Source organism: Homo sapiens, chromosome 9 (assembly GCF_000001405.40).
Source record: "Homo sapiens chromosome 9, GRCh38.p14 Primary Assembly".
NCBI lineage: Eukaryota > Metazoa > Chordata > Mammalia > Primates > Hominidae > Homo > Homo sapiens.
Window position 1 is genome coordinate 126,486,310 of NC_000009.12, and position 21,108 is coordinate 126,507,417.

Consider the following 21,108-nt stretch of genomic DNA (forward strand, 5'->3'; position numbering starts at 1 on the left):
TTATGGACAGCCCATTTGCATGGGGCCCTGCGTGTGGTGCAGCCCAGGGTATGTGAGGAAGGCCTCAGAGGAGCTGCTGCTGCCACAGGTGGTCACCAGGGCAGAGGTTACACTGACATACCTCCAGACCAGCCCGCTCCACTGTGGACAGGGGCAAGTCACATACCTGCTGTTTACCATGGGGTCACGGCAGAACCTGTCTCACGGGGTGCTTTGTGATGCCAAATGGATATAGGTGGGACGTGCTGGCAGCAGCGGCCTCAGCGTCGAGCCATCTCCCCTCCCGTTCTGCTCCGGCCTGCCTGTGGGCCTAATGGTGGCACCGTTTAAGCACCTGCTGTGTGCTCAGCCTGGGGCCTGAGGCTTTCCATACGTGATCACTGGTTCCTACCCCAGGCCTCATTCCTCCCTGTGTCGTGGGGAGAAATGGAGACTCCGAGAGGTGGAGTAACTGGCCAAAGACAAGGTGGAGACCCAGTGTGTCGTGCTCCAAGTCCTCCCCACTGTGACGGAAAGTGGCAGCTCTGTGTCCTTCCAAGGGGGCTCTCTAGGCTGGTGGCCAGTCAGTCTAGTTCCTTAACCTGGGTGGGCCTTCGAGTTGCTGGGGTGGGGTGAAGTGGGTGACGGTCCCAGTGTGGGGTCCAGGGCGGGTGGTGGGAACCCTGCAAACCTTATTCTCTTCCCCACTCTAAGGACTGAAATCTGTGATTCATTACAATGTAGTGTCTCAATGTCGGGCGCTCCGAGTCACAGTGTGGCCACCCCCAGGAGGTGCAGAGCCAGGGGTTGGGGCACACCCCGGAGTCAGTGCCTGGCTAGAATCTCAGATCTTCCACTGACTTTTCTGAGCCAACATTTCTTTTTCTGCACGATCAGGATAGTAATAATAGTGCTTAGTCCAGAGTCTATGTGGGTTTAACTGCAAAGGTCCAGTGAATGGCCTGAACCAGTGCCTGCCTCAGTGCTGCTGGCTGCCACTGTCATCACAGCCACCACCGTCACCATCGTTACCGTTCTCCTTGTCCACAGAGAAGGGCGTGAGTCGGCACAGGCCCACCCATTCCACTGTCCCGCTGCTCTGTTGCTGGGGCTGAAAGCTCCATCCCTGTGGACCAAGGTCAGCTGTATTTCTTGGGTTTAGTGACGGGTTAAAAGAAAAACAGGTCTGGGCCAGGTGTGGTGGCTTACGCCTGTAATCCCAGCACTTTGGAAGGCTGAGGCAAGCAGATCACCTGAGGTCAGGAGTTTGAGACCAGCCTGGCCAACATGGTAAAACTTTGTCTCTGCTAAAAACACACACACAAAAATAGCCAGGCTTGGTGGAGCACACCTGTAGTCCCAGCTACTCAGGCGGCTGAAGCAGATAGAAATCACTTGAGCCCAGGAGACGGAGGTTGCAGTGAGCCGAGATTGCACCATTGCATTCCGGCCTGGGCCACAGGGCGAGACTCCGTCTCAAAAAAAAAAAAAAAAATAACAAAACAGGTCTGTATTTGCTATTGAAGTAAATTAAAGTCGATGTAAAGAAATGTGGGGGAATGGGGAGAGGTTAGAACCTTAAACAGGGTAGAAAACCATAACAAGTATCGCTGCAGTGGAGAGCTCCACAGAGTTTTTCATTTAACCTGAGGACTTAAAAGTTCCTTATACCAGCCATTGGCATGCACAGCCATTCGCGTAACGTTGATGTCCACACACTCTGGCCAACGGGCTCCTTCCGCAGCCGTGGCAAAGGCTTTTCTCCGTAAATAAACCTGAAGTTGCTTCTTTTAGCCACTGAACTCGGCATTGCTCGTGGGAGTTGGGGGCTCAGGGAGAAGTGGTGCCTGGAGCCAGAACGACTGGCTGTCACTCTTGGACTCTGCAGGTTTGGCCCTGGAGTGGGCTGTGTTCCCTGGGTCGGGATGAGTTTGATTTTGTGCCTTCCATTTATAACAGGTCTGGCTGCCCTTAGTGAGGGGCTTGGGGGTGGAGAAGTCTCTGCTCAGAATTTGCTTTGCTCACTGTAAACCTTTGTGTTTTATACCATTAAACCAAAAAAAAAAAAAAAAAAAAATAGAGTAAATACAAGTGGGAGACTGCTTTCAGGTTCAGGGGCATAGACCTTTGACCGTGCCTCCCGCTCGTCCAGAACATCTCCCCAGGCTCGCCCACGATTCCCAGACAGGGTGGAGAGCCTGGCATCCAGGGGGAGGCTGCTCTGTGCTGGGCAGGTGCTTCCCTTCAGGATCCCTCTGCACCACGTGGGAGGAAGGGGGGTCCACCCATTTACGGAAGTCTGGACTCAAGAAGTTAAGTGACTGGCCAGATTCCCACAGCAGCAACCCAGAGCTGAACAGGGGTCTGAGTGTGACCCTGGCTGAATACATGACCGTCTTCATCTACTGAAGAGTGGTCCCAACTTGAAGGGAAATAGAAGTGTGAGCCCTGAGGCAGCACTGTCCTGTCCTTCCAGAACTGCAGCCAGTGTCCCTCCTGCCAGCGTTAACTGTCCTCACCATGCCCTGCCTGAGGGATGTTTCTGAATCGAAGCCGAAGCACAGTTGCCACCATTCGGCTTCAGGGACGGTCACCCTCCAACAAACCGTGTGACCCTGTGTATTCTGAGCATGGAGGTTAGGGACATGGGCAGCCACAGGGAGCTCCCCAGAGCTAGCCAAGCAGAGCTGCCTCCACCCCCACAAGGACACAGATGGCCTGGCCTAGGAGCTGCCCAGCACTGATTGACAAACAGGGTGTCACTTGGTTGTGGGTGGGTGTCCCTCAGCCCCCAGCATCCTGAGGAGCCCCAGGGAGCATGCGCTCCTGGGCCCGGACAGCCAGGCTGCCCTGGAGAACTGGAAGGGGAATGAGCCCATTCAGATGCCGGTGTCTGCAGGGACCCTCATGGGCTGTGTAGGCAGTGGACAGGACACAGCCTCCCAGTGTGGATGCCTGGGGTAGGGGACAAATTTGCTGTATAGGCTTGGCCCTGGGGCATGTTCCCAGGCCCCCTCACCCCAAAGTGGAACACAGGCCTGCTCATCCCAGCCCAGCGTGCCACACAGCGCGGCAGTCAGGGCACCTGGCAGCTGGTGGAGCGTGGTTAGATGTAGCTGCCCTGCTCTTCACCAGGGTCTCCCCAAGAGTCGTGGTACCTGATGCACTTGGGTGAAATTTCATGAAAAATGCCCAAGGACGGTCATGTTTTAAAGTTAGAATCAGTGGATGCGCCATTGAGCAAATTTTGAAGGAAAGGATCTGTGGAAAGACAGAAAACCTCTCACGATTCAGACATGCTCCATGATGGCGCGGGTGGCTGAAAGTGAAGGAAGCCGTGATTCATAGAGAAATTCCAACTCAAACGCCGTCACCCTGCTGGCTCCCCATGACAGAGCAGTGGCCTTCTGCCTGGCCATCTTCCAGCAGCCATGTGCTCCTGCCACCTCCGTCACCTCGCACCCAGAGCAGGGGCTTTGCTGTCCTCCCAGGGCCCGCATACATGAGTCCCAGGCATGAGGAAGTGAATTTTTACCTCATCGTCCCTCAGCCAGGGAGGTGACCAGGGGCTGGTCAGTGGCAGCCTCGTGGCCACCGTGGGCAGTTTTCTTGTCCCGGCCCCACCTGTCCGTGCCTTGTCCCCTCCCCTCCAGTTTGGCTCTGCAGGAGGGCAGTGGGTGACCCGGTGGGGCTGTTGTCCCAGTGAAGCCCTTACGGTTCTCCAGACAAAAGGCTGTCTGTGTCCCAGAGCCTGGAAAGTGTAATTTCGCAGCCAGCGCCCATGATGAAGCATCTTCTCTGGGCGTGAGGAGATGGGTGTATAAATATTCTCTGTCTCTGCCGCTCTTTATTTCCCTGGTAAGCAGTTGCCCCATTTCTCTAGCTGATGGATTCCCCATCGCAACCAGGGTGGGAGCTGCCTGGCTCTGCAGTCCAGGCGGGAGCTTCTAAAATAATCCTCATGTCTTGATTACCTGTGTATCCTCCCTCCCCACCCACGGTCCCGCCCTGGCATCCGTGGAAGACCTCACCATCCCGGTCAGGAGGCAGCAGCCTTGGGTGTAGGTTTCATGCTGTGTGCTTAACTACCCGCAAGCCTTGTGAGAACAGGAGTGAACCATTCCTGTAATGACAGGGCACCGGGCAGTGGAGAAGTCCGGAGCGACTTCCAGCCCCATGCGGAGCCGTTTCTATCAGCTGCCAACCTCAGCAGAAACCACAGTGCTCCCCGTTCCCTTCCAGGAGTGCCACCATCAAAACCGCGGCGGAGGAAGCACACATTAGCCTGCCGCACTCCTGGCGGAGCAACAGCCTCCATTTTCATTCGACTTTAAAGCCGAAAGATGAGGGAGGGTCTAATTAGTAAAGGGATGCTCTAATATTAATCACCCGCTTAAAATTGACAAGGGAGGCAGTTCATTTAACCACTTAATTGCCACAGGTTTTTATGGGCTGCTGTTTGCAGACATATTTAATGAAGAAGTTATAAATCTAAGGGAGCTTACAGTTTTAATTTTATACCTAAATATTTTCCTTGTTCTCATGTTTGTAGTCAGTCCTCAAGAGTGTAGTCACGTGGAATGTTCTTTAAATGAACATATTTGCTAACTGGCGTGATTTCAGTTTTTAAAACACTGGTTCCAGCAATTAGGCATTTTTTTCAGTTCCCAAATGACTAGAGAAATCCGTCTTGATTATAATTGCTCTTAGCCACGCATATCTAATTTGTGTCTTTTTAAGTGTTAATTAGTAAACAGTTTGAGCTGACATCTTTATGTGTTTGTGCGTTGAAAAATGGGGCTTATTGCTTATTTAGCTTGGGGCCGATTCCACTAGCATTTACGTCACGACACTGAGGTGGAATTAATGAAAATGCATTTGGCAGCATGAGGTGAAAAGGATTTTTGAATTCAACTTTTAGACGTCCGCATTGCGTGGGCTTCTGCGGGTCTCTTCAAATATACGAGGTTAGCGTAGATTTGGGACCTATGTCCCGCAGGAATAAAGTGAAGCAGATTTTTGTATCAATAATGAAATGGCAGCGTCCCAATTTTATAAAAGCAAAATGTTCCTATTCCCGCACAATTGTTCATTCTTTCTACTTTTGGAAAGCTTTCCTGGTGCTTATTAGATGTTGAAGAATTTTGTGGCGCGAACTGGTGCAGCCTGAAAAATGTGCGGTCCCTTTGCACCATCTAGTGGTAGGATCTTAAACTGCAGCAGGAAATAAGGTGCCTTTTCTCTGCCTATGAGATTCAATATTTCACCGCCCAGAATCCTTGTTATTTCTTTATTTTTCTGTTAGAAAGCTGAAATGTTTGGGGAAATAAATCTGCCTACTTCAGATATTAAAAGTTAGATAAATAAAAAGAAACCAACCTAGTCTGCTCCCTTTAATATATTGCTAAAAGACACAAAACTATCACCCAAATTCCTACAGAGCTGTCACACTGAGCTAATTCCAGCCCAAAACAAAGAAACCTAACGAATTAGTAAAGTAGATGCCTTGCAGAAATCATGAGAGAAGTCTGAGGCTTCTTTTCAAATACAGGATATAGCTTGGGACCACCGCTTCATAGACTCTACAAGCGTCTGACCACAGCGCAGGAATCAGTTTTATGCCACAGACAAGATTAATTATCTTCCCATAAATTGTTGAGGTTCTTTTGGGCAGTTTATCATTCTAAGCAGCTCCCCTGCCGATCAAAATTGATTTTTTAAATATTTAGTGTTTCCTGAGTACCAAGGTTGTCCATGTTTATAAAAATGCAAACATTACAGGAACATGTAAAAGGTGAACCTCCCCCTCCGTCCACTCCTGCGGCACGTGCACACACACACACACACACGCTCAGCAGGCTCATGCAGTACTGCCGGCTGCGACCTGCCTCTGTACTATCTAGTATGTCTTACACGTCTTCGCATGTTCCTTTACAGATCAGCCTTACCCTTTTTAATGACTATATGTTGTTCCCTTTTATGATTATGCCATAATTTATCTAACCAATCCACTATTGACTGACTTTTGAGGTGCTTCCAATTATTCACAATTACACCGCTGCAATAGATTTCCTTGTACATGTTGCCTGGCTCGCCTGGGTCTTTCCCTGGAAGAGGATGTATGTTACCATTTGCCTTTTGAACAGGGCGGGGCTATTGGAAGTCCCACCAGTGGTGCCTGAGGGGACCTTTCCTCACATCCTTATTCTAGCTAAGACTCACTGGGACCTTAATGTGCCCCTCCATTTAATTTTTAATCTCTGCTTATTTTGGCCAGGTGCAGTGGCTCACGCCTGTAATCCTCACACTTTGGGAGGCCAAGGTGGGAGGATCACTTGGGCCTAGGAGTTTGAAACTAGGCTGGACAACATAGCACCACCCCATCGCTACAAAAATAAAAAAATTATCCAGGCACAGTGGCTCATGCCTTTCTTCCCAGCTACTCAGGAGGAGGCTGATGTGGGAGGATCACTTGAGCCCAGGAAGTTGAGGCTGCAGTGAGCTATGATTGTGCCACTGCACTCCAGCCTGGGTGACAGAGAGAGACCCTGTCTCTTAAAACAAAAAACAATTTGGCCACTCTTCAAGTTGAACAACTTTTCAGGTGCTTATGAGCCACTGTGTTCTCACGCGAGCGTCTTCTGCTCGCTCTCTGCTCAGTTGTTTTCTATCAGCTTCTGTAGCTTTTGCATTGATTTTAAAGAGCTCTTTACGTTTTAAAGAGAGCAAACTTTTCTCTATGAGTTCAAATACACACACTTTAATCAGTGTCTTTTCAGCTTGTAAATGATGTGTTCTGCTATACAAAAGTTTCAAAATGTTCGTGGGCAATTTTCTCTGTTTATTTGGGCTTTGTGTCATAGTTAGATTATGAAAACATTCACCCCTGTTTTCCCTTATTATTTTATATATTAAAATATTAAATACTTTTCAACTACTTAATCCATCTGAAATTTATTAGAAGGTAAGAACTACAGACAGCTTTATTTTACCCTAAAACATTAGCCGGTTTTCTTAATGTTGGCGATCTTTCTTTGACTCTTAAATGCCACTTTTATCATATGTAAGTGGATCAGTGGATGTTTTTCTTGATTCCGTTCTGCTCTGTTATTCTATTTTTATATTAGTACCACACTATTCTGAATCTTATCGCTTTATAGTAAGTTTTAATATAGGTTAGGGTTAGTTCTCTCTTTTTTCCCCCAGAACTTTACTAATTTTACTCACAGGACTATTCTTCCAGTTGAACTTTAGAATCTTGGGGGCGAAGGAAGTTCCGAAAAGCCCACTCTCGATTTTTATTGGAACTGCATTGAGCACATGGTTGAACAGAATAGTAATCGGAATCTTAGATCAAGCGTCTCTCCATCCAGAAACAAGGGATGCCTCTTGTAAGCCCAGGTCTTGGTCCTTTCTCTTTAGGTCATTCCTAGGTGCTTTCTGTCTTTGTGGTTCTTGTGAACGAGATCTTTTTTCTCATTCTATTTTCTGCCACTTATATGTAAAGCAACCATTGACTTTTGTGTAATATTTCTGGAGCTAGATATCCCTCTGGCTTCTTTTACTGTTTCTGATGGCTTTCCAGCTGCATTTCATCGGTTCCCCAGGCAGGCAGTTACGTCGCCTGTGAATGCTGAGGCCTCCATCCTGGCAAGGTCGTTCCTCTTCCTGTGTGCCATTGTCCGACACCTCGGCAGGGACTTGCAGGTCCCCAGGCCTCCTTATGTCATCCGTATTTTAAATGGAAGTTTGTAGTTTCAATATTAACCCATAGTGCTGCGTTTTGACTTGCTATTTATAGACATTGTTTTTTTTTTCCTTCATGTTAAAGTGTTAGCCATCTATTTCTGTTTTCCTAAATGTTTTTATCAGAAATGGATGGTGGCTTTTGACAAATATCTTTGAATCATCCATTGAGATGATCATATTTTTTCTCCCCAAGCATATTAATACGGTGGATTGTATTAATAGAGTTCCTAATTCCAAGAGTCTTGGAGGCCCCCTTCCCCACTGCCCTTTTGGGTCTTCTCGGCAGCCAGTGTCCTGGCAGCCACCACCACCACACATCTTGTTCCCGTGGTGGCCCAAGGCATTCATCATATGAATAAGAGAACCAGGCTGAGCCTGCAGAAATAAAGTGAAGCAGAGATTACGTTTGCCAGGCAGAACCACCTGCCCTGGTTACCGCCATGAGTCATACCCGCTCATGCAGAATTGAAGTCAAGGTGAACATCTCGCCTTTTGCATGTCCTTCAGAGGAGGATTTTCCTACCCTTTTCTTATGGTCTCTGGGAACTTTTGCACCTCTAGTTTTAGGTAAAGTAATGCCTACAAAGATGAACAAGTGGAAAGCTACCTGGCATGTATGTAAAAATAAGCATCAAGACAAAGGGTGGGGAGGGCACCTTTTCAGAGCACCTCACGGCTCTCATTTTCCACCCAGTAACCAGTGGTGGCAATCAGTGTGGTTTTAAATCTCTTCTACAAACTATCTAGAAGAGGAGAAATACAAAGACTCACTTTTTAGGTGGTATTCAGGTGAATTCTAAAATGCTGACTCAGTGACCAGGGAGCACCCCACCCCCCCCCAGGGTTGTTTGCAGACACCAAAATAGCATTTAGGCCAGGCCCGGTGGCTCACACCTGTAATCCCAGCCCTTTGCCAAACCAAGGTGGGTGGATCACTGGAGCCCATGAGTTTGAGATCAGTCTGGACAACATGGTAAAACCCCATCTCTACAAAAAATACACAAATTAGCCAGGTGTGGTGGTGCATGCCTGTAGTCCCAGCTACTGGGGAGGCCAAGGTGTGAGGATCACTTGAGCCCAGGAGGTCAAGGCTGCAGTAAGCTGAGATCGAGCCACTGCACTCCAGCCTGGGTAACAGAGTGAGATCCTGTCTCAAAAAAAAAAAAAAAATGAGAGAGAGAGAAAGAAGAGAAGGGAAATAGCATTTATTCAGTGGCCAGGGCATCTGACGGTGCACAGCCCTGCCCAGAGCCTCCACCCAGAGCAGCACAGCTGGACACCCAGGTGCCACAGGGAGGGAAGGGTTGGGGAGAGCGAGGCGAGAGCAAGTCATGGTTTTGTCTTTGTTCGTCATGCAGCCGTCTTCATTTCCACCACAAAATGTGCTTTCTCCCATTTTTGTTTTGAAATACATAGTTTTCTCTATCTTTCATTTTCCTACTTTTAATAGTCACAAGTACGAGAAACGTTTTGCTTTCTTGCTTGCTCTGCCCCCATCATCCTATACATGCACACACAAGACACAGTCACTGTGGTGAGATGGCAGTGGACACTCTTCCCAGCTGGGCGCCGTGTAGGGAGTGCGGGGTACTGTGGCAAACTGGAGAGCACAGGCCTCTGGAAAGGAGGTCACCTCCACCCACCACCCACCTGTGAGACTGAGGGTTTACTGGGTGAGAATGAGGGTCTGGAATTGTATCTCCCTATGTTTTTTTCAATAACATCTAGATAAATATTGGCATCCTATGCAAAGTCTTTCCACTTTTCAGTGTTTATGACTATTGTGAAACACCGCACAGGCCAGCACTGTGTGAACCTGCAGCTTGTACACTGTCTGCATAGAGAAACAGACCAAATCACTAGACTTAGACTCATTTTCATCATCCACAGGTGTGACATGCTGCTGTGGATGGGCCCTGGGCTTGGTACTTGACATGCATGAGTTACTGTACCATGGGATGGGCTGTCACTCAGTCATGCCCAGGGGCCCCAGGGCTGTGCAGGCACAGTGCTGCTGCTACAAGGACTAGAAACCAGGATGACCTTCTACCTGCCCAAGAACTGAGCCCCTAAACTAGCTGCTTTCTCTCCTTTGCATTGAGCTATGCCCAGAGCCTGATGTGTCTCTTCACTCACCATCGACTTGTCCACCCACCCACCCACCTACCCACCCGTCCATCCACCCACCCATCCATACACCCACTTACCCAACCATCCATCCACCTACCCATCGCCCCACCCACCCTTCCACCCATCCATACACCTACCCATCACCCCACCCACCCTTCCACCCATCCACATATTAACCCATTCACTCATGCACCTGCCCATCCACTCAGCCACTACCTATCCACCCATACCCACCCACTCACTCACCCACCCATTCATCTACTCACCCACTCCCCCACCCACCCACCGCTACCCACCCACTGTTCACTCATTCCTGCATTCATTCTAGGCTGTGATCTCTACTGGGCTCTGGAGCTACAGCTGAGGCTCCACAGCTGCCCTGAGCATGAGGAGGGTATAGAAAGTGTTGTTGTGGTCCGTTCTCCCCGGGGAAGGAACACGCTTCCCAGAGCAAGTGCCCCTTTAGTGGTCCTTAAGGACACGTAGGACTTTGCCACTTGAGGGAGGAGGAGTGTTCCTGACAGAACTGGCTGGGAGAGGAGAGAGAACCATGCAGGGGAAAGACCTCTCCCCAGGATGTGGGGCTCAGGGCTCTGCATCAGGGTGGGGAGCTGGGAATCACTTGCCCTGCTCCTGGACACAGGCCAGATCCTGGGTGGAAGGTGTTTTGTGAGATAGGGTGCCCTGAAGGTGAGGGCGCTCTCCAGGCCCCTGTCCCCCAGGGGACAGGCAGCCTAGGGCAGGGTGTCCCTCAGAGACAGACTCTCAGCGTTGTCATCACCCAGTGGGAGACCCAGGCTTGGAGGAGACAGGAGGGGCTGGGTACCGATGAGGATTGACAGAATGACTGGGATGCGGACTAGTAGAGAGGAAGAGACTGGACTGGCAGATGGCCATGCATTTATTCAGTGACCCGGGCTGGGTGCTGTGCTGGGCAGTGAGGACACAGCAGTGCCCAGACACACAGGCTTCTGCTTCTGGAGCTCTTAGCTCCAGGGAGCAGGGGCTGAACTGGCTGGAAGTGGGGGGCCCTAGAACCACATGGAACCAGCGGGGCCCTTATTGCACCCCCTGGTTTAGGGTGAGACCCCCCAGCTGGATCTGGGGTTCCCTGCTCCTGGGTTGCAGCTCCCAGGTTAGAGCTCATGAACCATCTGGGCGGGCTGTTAGGAAAACAGAAGTAGCTTCCTAAAGGGTCTGCGGGAGCCCTCACCCACCCCTCTGCCCACGCCCCGCAGTGTGGTCATTGAAGGCCTCTCCCAGCTGTGCCCTGACCCCGAGGCCTTGGTCAGGTGGTGCAGCCTCATGGGACCTCGGCTCACTCCCCAGTAGTGGCAAGGAGGTTCTGTCCTGCCAGACTACTCGGCTCCCCACTCCTGACCACAGGGGTCACAGCCCTGAGCTCCAGGCCCAGCTACAGGGCCTCGCTTTCAAAGAGAGCATTGAACAAGGAATCCACCTCATCTCCGGGGCATGAGGTGAGCATCCTGGCTTCTCCCTACCCCCAAGGCCCACCTGCTCGTGAACAGCCTTCCTCCTAGTGAAGCACTTTCTCACGCTTTCTGGAGCTGGGGCTTCCCGCTGGGTATGCAGCCTCTCCAATGTCTCTAGAACCATGGCCCAAGTAGGAAGCAAGGACTTCAGCTGGCCCTGCAGCTGCTGGAAGAAGACGTGCAGGGTTTCCAAACCGAACAGTTGCTCAGAGTCACCTGGGGTCCTTGTCAAAACGCCCACACCCACTGAAGTACTGCCTGGGGAGGGGCCCTGGAATATGGCTCAGAAAGCAGCGGGCGGCCCACCCTCGTCTCGCAGAAGAGGCCTGCAGGATGGGGCCGTGGGGCCCTGAAGGCCTCTCCCGGGACTGCAGCGCTTCAGGCCTCGCCATATGACGTGGGCACTGTGCTGGGCCCTGCCTCTCTCCTCCCGCAGCGTTTCAGAAGCCAGGGCTGCATTCCTCATCTTCAGGAAACAGATGAGGACGTGGAGCCCCTCATGTGAGGAAGCTGAGGCTTTAGGATTTTAGAAACAGGAAGAGCCTGTATCATAGCCGAGGCCGTGGGAGTGCCTGAGATGGAGGGGGATGACTGGAGTGCTGAGCCGGGGGGGCTTGGAGAAGCAGACAGGTGGGGCTGCTGTACAGAATCTCCCCCACCTCTCCCTGCCTGTGCTAGGGCCAGGCCCATCCGCCTGCCCAAGCCCACCCATCAGTGTCTGTCCACCCCTGCACCAGACTCTTCTCGTTGGCCCCAGCCTTGGCCCCTTTGGTTCCCTCCCACCTGTCCTCACCTGGCCCAGCCCCTGCCCTCTGGACTACACCATTCCTGGCCCTATCGTGATTCACCCGTGAGCTCACTAGTTCATGTCTGTCGGTCTGGCCCCCATGCTGGAGTTGCACCCCAGGAGAGGTAGGTGCCAATGCCTGCCCTAATGCAGGTTTCCCAGCCAGCCCAGCGCCTGCCCCCTGCGCCTCTCTGGGCCCAGGCCTCGTCCAGCATTGCCCAGCTCACTCTGGGACCTCAGGAAGTCAGATCCTTTCTTGGGCTTCACTTTCCTTCTCTGCAAAGCTCGGGTGCTGGGAACAGCCCCTTACTGCCTTTTCTCGTCTGGAGCCCTCTAGAGTGTTTAGTATGAGACCTGGTGTGGGAAGGAGGGAGGAGGCTGGAGGGGCAGTGCACTTGCCTTCCCCTCTGGTGATTAGTGCAATTAATACTGAAATCACCTGAGTGTTTTCAAAAAATGCTGGTGTCCCCGTGCCGGTTAAACCAGGACCACTCCTGCCAACCACAGGTGGGGGCCATGCATCACTGTGGTTAAAGCCTTTGGTTCTGATGCATAACCAGGGCTAATTCTCTTCACTTTCAAGGCACTTGCACACGAATCGTCCTAGTTGTGGGTAGACCAGTAGGTTCTATTGCCCCCTCTTTGCCTCGAAGCTGGGTGCTTTCCAGGTGCTGCTGGAAGCTGCAGTTGGCACCTTCTATCACAGGACACTGACCTCACTATGAGAAAAGGCTTTTAGAAGCTGAGACTCTCGCACCGTGGCCTGAGACGCCTGCTTCCATCAGTGGCAGGGTCCCCGGGACCCCTGGCAGAGCCTCCAGGACCCCTGGCAGAACCCCTGACAGTTACATCTCTTTCCCGAGAGAGGCCTCAGGCCCGGGCTGCCCAGCTGCTGCAGTGGCGGCCTGTGCCCACCAGAGGGCGCAGGCCCGGCGCTGCGCAGCTGGACCGGGCTGTGCGGACCAAATGCTTTTTAATTGAAAATTTTTTTAATTCAAAAAGGATTTGCTGTTTGTTCGCAAGTGCAGGTTTTCCTTATGCAGGAGACTAATGTCTTGAGTAAACAGATCCGGGTCCAAATCCACCTTCAAAGGTACTCGCTGTTTGCCCAAGGGAGTGAAAGGGCTTCCAGAAGCGGCCCCGTCTCCTGGGTAAACACGGCGGGAGGAGCGGGCAGGGACCGCGTCTGCGGGAAGGCGGCCGCAGCCAGAGGGGATTATGTCGCGGGACATATGTTGAAATTTCATTTGGGGAGTTAGGGAAAACAAGAAGCGGGGGTGGGTGGCGCTTTTCTCCAGCCAAGATAACCTAAAAAGGGAAAAAATCCCGAGGGAGAGAGGGTGGGGGCGCAATCTGTGCGCCCTCGCGGGGACCGGCGTGGTGCAGGCAGGAAGGGGCGCCTTCTCCGCCCTCCCCCAGCCCGCGGGCCGGGAGAGAGGAGCTCAGCCCAGCCCGGAGGGCCCAGCCATGCCCTCCCCGTGACCCTGTCCCCACTCCTGGCCACAGAGACTGGGACAGCGGCACAGGGTCCCCACGACAGCCCCTCTGCCGAATCAGCCAGTTGCTCACACAGGCGTGGAAGCGTCCTGCTCCCCCGCTCACCATCCAGAAAGCTCCCGCTAGGCCCGGGCCTAGGCTCTCTGGCTGTGGACACTCGGGCTGGGGCTGCAATCGCCCTTAACCTGCTCTCTCTGGCCGGCCAGCCCTCAGCACTCCCTGCCACCCCCAGGAACCCGGCCCAGTAGATACAGCAAGACCTACTGAAGGAGCAGAAGGGCGCGGCCCAGGACGCCTCCCCCAGCCCCTCCACTGCCCTGCAGGAACCTGGCTCTGGGCTTTCTCCCTCTATCATCTGAGATGCTTCGCGTTTGCAGGCATCTCCCTGGCATGGCCTTGGAGCATCCAAAGTGGAGCACCTCCAAGCCATGTCCCACCCCCTCCCCCAACCAGTCCTTCCCCAGCTCCTTTCTGCACAGCGTGTGGTCTCTGGCCCTTCCCTCTCTGCCCATCCATGTCCACACCCATTCCCAGGTTCCAGTGATTGGGTCGTAGAATTCTCTAAACTGATCCCCAGACCAGCAGCATGGGGTTACCTGGGAGCTATTTGAAATGCAGATTCTCAGGCCTGGCCCCAGACCTACCCAGTCAGAATCTGCATTTGACCGGGACCCCCCGGGGACTGGTGTGCGTTCAGAGTTGAAAAGCCTGCTGCATGTTCTCTCCTGAGCCGGGGCTGATGGCCTAACTATCCACGCCGTAGGCCCTCAGCCCCGCTGTCTCCGCAGGCATGTGTGCCCGTGGCACTCTCCTCTGCACCTTGGCACCTATTGCCCTAGGTGCCGTCCATGCCCTTCCCCAGTCAGGCCCCGAATCTGCTTTCAAGATGTGAATGCCCCCTGCCCCGCGAAGCCCTCCTTGCTCTCTCCGGTGATCCCCACGCCCCGTGCATGTGCCCTCGGAGGTGGCCTTCATGCTGGGCTGTGCTGGGCATGCCCGCCCCCTCCTCTGCTACCTTGGGAGTCCCGCGCAGGGCGGATGTCAGTGAGGGCTGATGAAGCCAGCCAGGGAATGAATTTGCCGCTGTTCCCTGCCGTGCATGTGCCCAGGCGGCCACCAGGTGGCAGTGTCCTCCCAGACTTTGGCGCAGCTCCCCCTCCTCAGCCTCCCGGAGCCGGAGTCTCCTGACCGCGGCCTGTGCCTGGTGGTTGGCGAGCAGGAAAGTGAGAGGGCTGGAGTGAGAGAGCTGGCGCTGCATGGTGGGTTCTCTGGAGCAACCAGATGCTCAGTGATCGCTTGCTCAGTGCTAGGGCGCGGCGGGCCCTGATCTACCATCGCTCATTCCATCCTCCAGGCAGGCCTGGACATGGGCGCATCACCCCACCTGAGAGATGAGTTCACTGAGGGCAGGAGAGGAGAGGAGCCTGCCTGAGTAGCCCTGAAGCCTCGGGTCCTTACCTCTGCACCCTGCCAGGCAGCAGATGCTGTGAACAGGGCTCCCTTCGGTTTGGGGGCCACATGTCTGCTCAGCCCACCGTGCACACGGGGACAGAGCCAGCCTCAGCCCCAGCTGAGACTCGGGTCTGTCCATCTGTCCCGGGTCAGCCTGGGGACTGTGGAGCAGTGGCAGCCATGGACATAGTGCTGGGCTTTGGCTGTGGACATGGCGCTAGTCTGTGGCCATGGACGTGGTGCTGGGCTGTGACTTGCTGGCTGCCACAGCCTCCCCACCAGTTTTCCACTTTAAGGGAAAAAGGCCTCCCATGCTCCTTCATGGTTGGATGGCTTTTGGGCCCCACTGTGCCCCTGAAGGCTCAGCCCTGCGGCCCTCCTCGCTCATCAGGGCCCTTGGGAGGGCTCCTTGCTGCAGGCGGCTCGCTCTGGGCAGCAGGGAGGGCTGGGCAGGCCTGGAAAGCCGCCTGCTGGTGGGCAGGGCGTGGGCACCCCAGGGCCCTCCCTGGGGCTGGGTGCAGTGCTCCGCCTCCTGCTGGGGCGATGTGACCCCTGCCGTGTTCCTGAGGGCCTCCCTTCCTGGCCTGCCCGTGTACAGGTGTCCCCCAAGGAGCTGCAGCTCATGGTCAGCTCACCCATAGGGCAGCTCCACTTCCACCTGCTGTCTGCAGGGGAGCCCTTCTTATGACAATTCTACTGCTAAAACTTTTCAAATAAATACTTCAAATGCTTGAAAACCACTGATCTAATCTAAGCTCCTGCTTCCTAAAATCCATGTGACCATGAGGCTGCCTTGACGCAGGGTTCCAGGCCATTCCCCATACCCCACCCAGCCCCAACGCCTTGCACCTGTGTCCGGCCAGGCAGCTGCCAGCCCATTTCTGTGGCTGGGGTGCCCCGTGCCTGCTCTGCCCACATGCCCTGCCTTATGTTTGGGCACCGAGACCTCACCTGGCCTCTTAAGTGAACTACAGGTGCTCCTAGCCCCCTCAGAGGTACTTAACCCCTTCTCTAAATTTCCATCAGACTTGGAACGCGATTTAGTGAGCCAGGGTCGGTTAGGTGAGCTGGGGTCTCTGGCGTGAGGCTTAACTCCTGCCCCCAGACAGGGGAGCAGCAGGGCTGAGCCGTGGAGGAAGGTCCCCCCACCGGGCAGCTGCCCTGGCCCCGCTGTGGCCTGTCAGGAGTCCTCAGCAGGGGTGCCTCTGAGGACTCTGTGAGGAATGCATGGGGAGGGTGTGGATGGTGCCAGGGACAGCAGTGGAGGCCCCTCCCATGACCCTGGGCACCACCTGGTATTGGTCCTTGCTTCAGCGGAGCCAGCATATCAGGGGTCCCTAGAGCCTGGCAGCTGAGACCAGCCTCAGCCAGGTTTGGGGTTGAGAATCTACCCTCACCAGCAGGGGCATGAAAACTGTCCCGCTGGGTGGGAGGCCATGACAGTCAGCACGGGCCTGGCAGATGGGCGGCACCGTGGTTTTACACACTGCTGGTGCCAGGCCTGGCCTCACAGGGAGCAGGCAGGCACTGTGGAGGGTACCAGTCATCACCACAGGAGCCTGTCACCCCCGCAGGCGTGTCCACGCACACACGCCACATGCACAGTTCAGGGGCCCACGAGGGCAGGCTCTGGCTGGCACCGGCCTGGCCAGCTGCGCCATGTCAAGATGCCCCACGAGGCGGCCCAGGCCTCTGCCTGATCTTGATCTGAGGCTGTGGAGGGGTTTCCCTAGTGTCCCATGGACTGACTGTGTCTCTCTGTCCCCACCCGCCCCTGCAGTACGAGTACAGCTTCCGCACAGAGCAGAGCGCAGCCGCCAGGCTCCCGCCCAGCCCCACCAGGTGTCAGCAGATCCCGCAGTCCTGAGGAGCCAGCGGCCACCTGCGGGGAGACCACCGCCGCCCAGACTACTGACGGCAGGGGCTGCTGCCCCCGCCTCCTCCTGCCGCCTCCGCCAGCCCTCCCTCCCACACTGCCCCAGCAGGGCTGGCCCGGAGACTGGGCAGCTAAGTGGGCGCATCCTGTCTTCAGCTGGCCTCACTGACACCCCGGCCTCCCTGGGGACATTGTTCATAACCATGACTAATCTGTGTGTGCTGTAGTGACCAGCGGCTCCTAACGTGTCTGTGTGATGACCAGTTGTCCTCCAAAAACCTCACTCACCACGGAGTCACCCTGAGGGCCCCGGGCAGTTGCCCTGGCCGCCCAGTGACGCCCACCGGCTCCCTCCGCTCCCTCCTGTCACCTACCAGGGCAGACCCCACTAAGCCGTTGAGTCTCTTCCTGGAAGACCCTGAGGGCCGGCAGCTTTGCCTAGGACTCTCCAGGGTCGCTGATCCTCCCCGGCCCAGGGCTGCCAGGAACAAGTTCCTCTCTGCAGGATCTCACAGCAGCCCTGAGAAGACATGGGAGGAAGAAGCCAGTGGCCCTGGGGTGGACCCTGCCCTTTGGACATCCCATGGACTTGTCACCCAGTCGCCTGGAAGTCGGGGAGCAGCACCCCTGCCCCCGGTGGAGGGGTTGTTGCTTTCTGGGGAGGAGGACGGTTGACGGCCCTGCTTGGATCCACCACCAGGACGCTGTGCTCGGCCATGGCGCGCCTCCCCCAAGGGCTCATCTGTGCAACAACCACATGCCAACAATAGCTCCAGGTGCCTCAGCCCCGTGCCCTGACCCGGGGACCACAGGGACACCCTCTGAGACGTGCTGGCCCCAGGAGGATACAGGCACACGGGCACCCAGCCCCTCTCAGAGCCAGGCGTGTCTTGACGGTATCTGCTGACGGGAACAAGTCATTCTGAAAGGTCCCTCTGACCCAGGTCACCAAATTTGGGCCAGAACTGGCACTTCCGAGTGCCCACTGGTGCTGGCGTCCTCAAAGTGCCGGGCGCCAAGTTCAGCCCCAGGTGCGTTTGCCTAGGCAGTGGTGGCTGCCATCCCTCGGGGCCCAGGCCCTCACCCGAAGGGCTGCCTCACTCTGTGGTGTCAGGCACTGGGCTGTGTCCTGATTCCTCAGAGTATGGGGACCTGACATCTTTGGGTCCCCAAGAGTTGGCTCTTGGATGTGGAGGCTTGATGCTGCGGTTGGGGGCTGCACTACCTGCGTCCGTGGAAGCCTCTGCCTCAGCGGGGACGGCCTCCTGCTGCAGGTCCTGGGCAGCCCACAGTAGTGCTAGCTGAGGCCCAGAGGAACGGGAGGAAAGGGAGGCAGCGCCGGACGGCGCAGCTGGCCAAGAGGCGGGCGGGGCCAGAAATACCTCATGCCCCTGCACCAGCCCCTCCGTCTCCAGGCCCCAGGCCTCTTTGTGGACCCATCTTCCTCCTCTGCCACCCCGATCTTCACTCGGATACCTCTTGATTTCTGTGGATAAGGGAAGCGGCCACTTCTCCCTCCCTGAGACCCGAGGATGCCCCTGGTGGGGGTGGCCTTCTCAGGACTCCTGGGTGGCACAGCAGCAGGACCTTGTCATGGGACTGATGCTGAGCAGGGAGGGGGCTGCCAGGCTGGCTGCCGATGCTCCGTTCACATAAGCCAGTGTGGTTCTGGGGACCTGAGGAGCCCTGTGGCACCCACAGGGGGCACCTATGTCTGCCGTGGCTCCTCGGGTGGTGCCCTGTGTGACAAAGCCCAACAGCAAGGGTGACTCCTGGCAGGTGGGGGCAGCAGGAGGGCAGAGGGCAGAGCTCTGGCCACTTCTGCCCACTTCATTAGGGTTTGTGAACTTTGTCCTTCACCTCTTTTCGTGCCCTGGTTGTGAGATTGCCTCTAACAGGTAATGCCAGGGGCCCTTCACTCCGCCCCCATGACTGGGAAGAGGCCTGTGGCAGCGCCGCTGGACCCTAGGAGGCTCAGAGGCAGTGGTGTGGGAGCCCTGTCTGCAAGGACGCAGAATAAGCAGTGAGGGCGGCTGCAGGAGAGGAAGGGGCTCCCACAGCCCCCACTGATGCCGCTGCAGGCCCCTGTCGAGCTGGGGTCCCAGCCAGGTGCCCCCGCATGCCCTCCTGCAGTTGCTGGATGGATAGGGACACCAGGAAGAGGACAAACTGCATGGACTCAAGCGAGCTGGAGCCATCTTCTCCATAGCATTACGGACTTAGCATAAGAGTAAATGACTGTGAACGTTGTAGTAAACGGCAGCTTAAGATAAGTAAGCAGAGACAGTGTTAAGGACGAGTTGGTGTCTGTGGTAGCTTTTAGGCTGCTCCTAACCCACCATTTATTGCCTTCTGAGAGGTGGGTGAGGACAAGCATGTGCCTGTGTGTGTGTGTGTGTGTGTGTGTATATGTGTGTGTGTGCACGCACATGCGTGTGTATAAGCCCACCTGAGTGGGGCTCGTGCAGGAGAACTGAGGCATGAAACTCTGGCTCAAACCTAGGAATTGAGAGCGTTTCTGTCTTTTGGGAGAGTACTTTTCTCCACGAGCCCTCTGGCCACTGTGGGAGGGAAGGACAAGGGTTCCCTTGGAAATGTGAAGGGTCTTGGCCTCATCCCTCAGGTCCCCCCACAGCACTTCCCACTACTGCTTCTGTCCCTGCTGGCAGCCTCTGTCCCTCCAGAACGGCTAACCAGAGCACACTGTCCCCACCGCCTCCCCTTTCTCTCTGGAAAGTTGAAGTATCTCCAAAGGCCTTGGAAATGGCACAAAGGTGATAAGGAGCAGGTGCTTTGCTGCAGTCTCCCTTGCAAATGTATAATTAAGGCCTTTCTTCCCACCCCAAGTCCAAGAACAAATGCCAGCCACGTCCTCCGCCACTTGGAGAGATGAGAACCCAGTGGGGTCACGTAAAGGAATTGCAGGTCGGTGAGAGGACAAGAGGGACTCCCATGTTCTAAGCACCTGTTCCTGGCCAGGCTCTAGGCCAGGCTCTCTAAGCACATTTCTCCTTTCATTCCCCCTAAAAACAGAGTGACCTGGAAGTAGATGTTCTTTGCTCCTTGTCAGAGTTGAAGAGGCTGACTTGGCCCACTGCTAAGCGGCAGAGGCAGGGCCAGCCATCCTGTCGCAAGCCCGTGCTGGGGCTGCCCTTTCTGTTTCCAGTCCAGTTACGGACTTCCCGGCCGCCACTGGGCCCTGCCGGTCACCAGGCCACTGTGCAGTGGGCGCAGAGCATGGTCAGGAGTGGCCTGCCCGTACTCCTCCACCCAGATGAGGGCCCTCCAGAGCCTGCAGGCATCTGTGGGGAATCCCAGCCTGCAGGTTCTTGGAGAAGCAGGTGAACCTAAGGATGAAAGCAAAGGAGGGCCTTGAGGAAGCAGCCCCCAGGCCTGGCAGCCACGCAGCGGCTGAGCTCATGAACTTGGTTCGCAGCCTGCCTTGCCCCTGGAGGCCACGCCAGGCGCTCACCCCTGAGCCCACAGCCCCTGCTTGGGCTGCCTGGCACCCTCAGGGTGGCCCGGCCTCCTCCTGCCACTCTGAGCACATGTCCGGGGGTTGCCACCAGAGACGGCTTTGTTCTCCCAGCTAAGGCCGTGGAGCTGCTGTGTGACTGTGTCAGGCCTGGACAAGGAAGACCCTTAGGGATGACGTCCCCGCTGCATATTTATTCAAGGTGACTCTTGTACTTGGCAAGGGAAGTCCACTGTGTGATTGTCTGTATTCTTAATATAATTTGTTAAATAAACGTTTGTTTTAACCTCTTTCCCCAGTTTGCTGTCGTGGTGTCTGAAGGCAGCAGAGGTCAGTATCCCTCAGGGCAAGCCCCAAGCTCTCTCTCCCCCAGCAGGGCTCTTGTCACCACCTGGCCTGTCAGCCTTCTAGAAAGGACTGGTGGGCTTCTTTGCCCCTTGCTTAGTTGAGACGACCTGGTTACAAGTCAGTGGGATTCCGGGGGATGCAGAAAGCCCCGCTGTTATCTGGTGGCAGCCCTCGGGGTGCTCCTGGAAGGAGAAAAGCCCCAGTTGGCGTGAAGGCAGGAGCAGCTCCTGCCAGGTGGCCCCGGTGGGGAGGGCCGGGGTGCTCGGTGCCTTTCACCTCCGACTCCCCCCAGAGCCCTTGTCTGGGGGCGCAGACCACGTCG

The 21,108-nt window shown here is 55.2% G+C and overlaps 1 protein-coding gene across 2 annotated transcripts in view, besides 1 other annotated feature; it reads left to right on the forward strand.

Annotated features, from left to right (window-relative positions):
* The window catches only part of MVB12B (multivesicular body subunit 12B), a 180,212-nt gene extending 159,481 nt beyond the window's left edge, over positions 1–20,731 (forward strand). For both annotated transcript variants that reach the window (NM_033446.3, XM_005252297.1), the window contains exon 10: positions 16,868–20,731. In NM_033446.3, coding sequence (NP_258257.1) covers positions 16,868–16,954 — 87 coding nt within the window. In that variant the 3' untranslated portion in view covers positions 16,955–20,731. The remainder of the gene's footprint in view (positions 1–16,867) is intronic.
* Positions 12,941–13,235: a silencer, noted in NCBI's record as "tiled region #6068; K562 Repressive non-DNase unmatched - State 12:CtcfO". NCBI's record gives its function as "represses a minimal TATA promoter and a strong SV40 promoter by Sharpr-MPRA in K562 cells {active_cell/tissue: K562}" and the evidence as "EXISTENCE:reporter gene assay evidence [ECO:0000049][PMID:27701403]".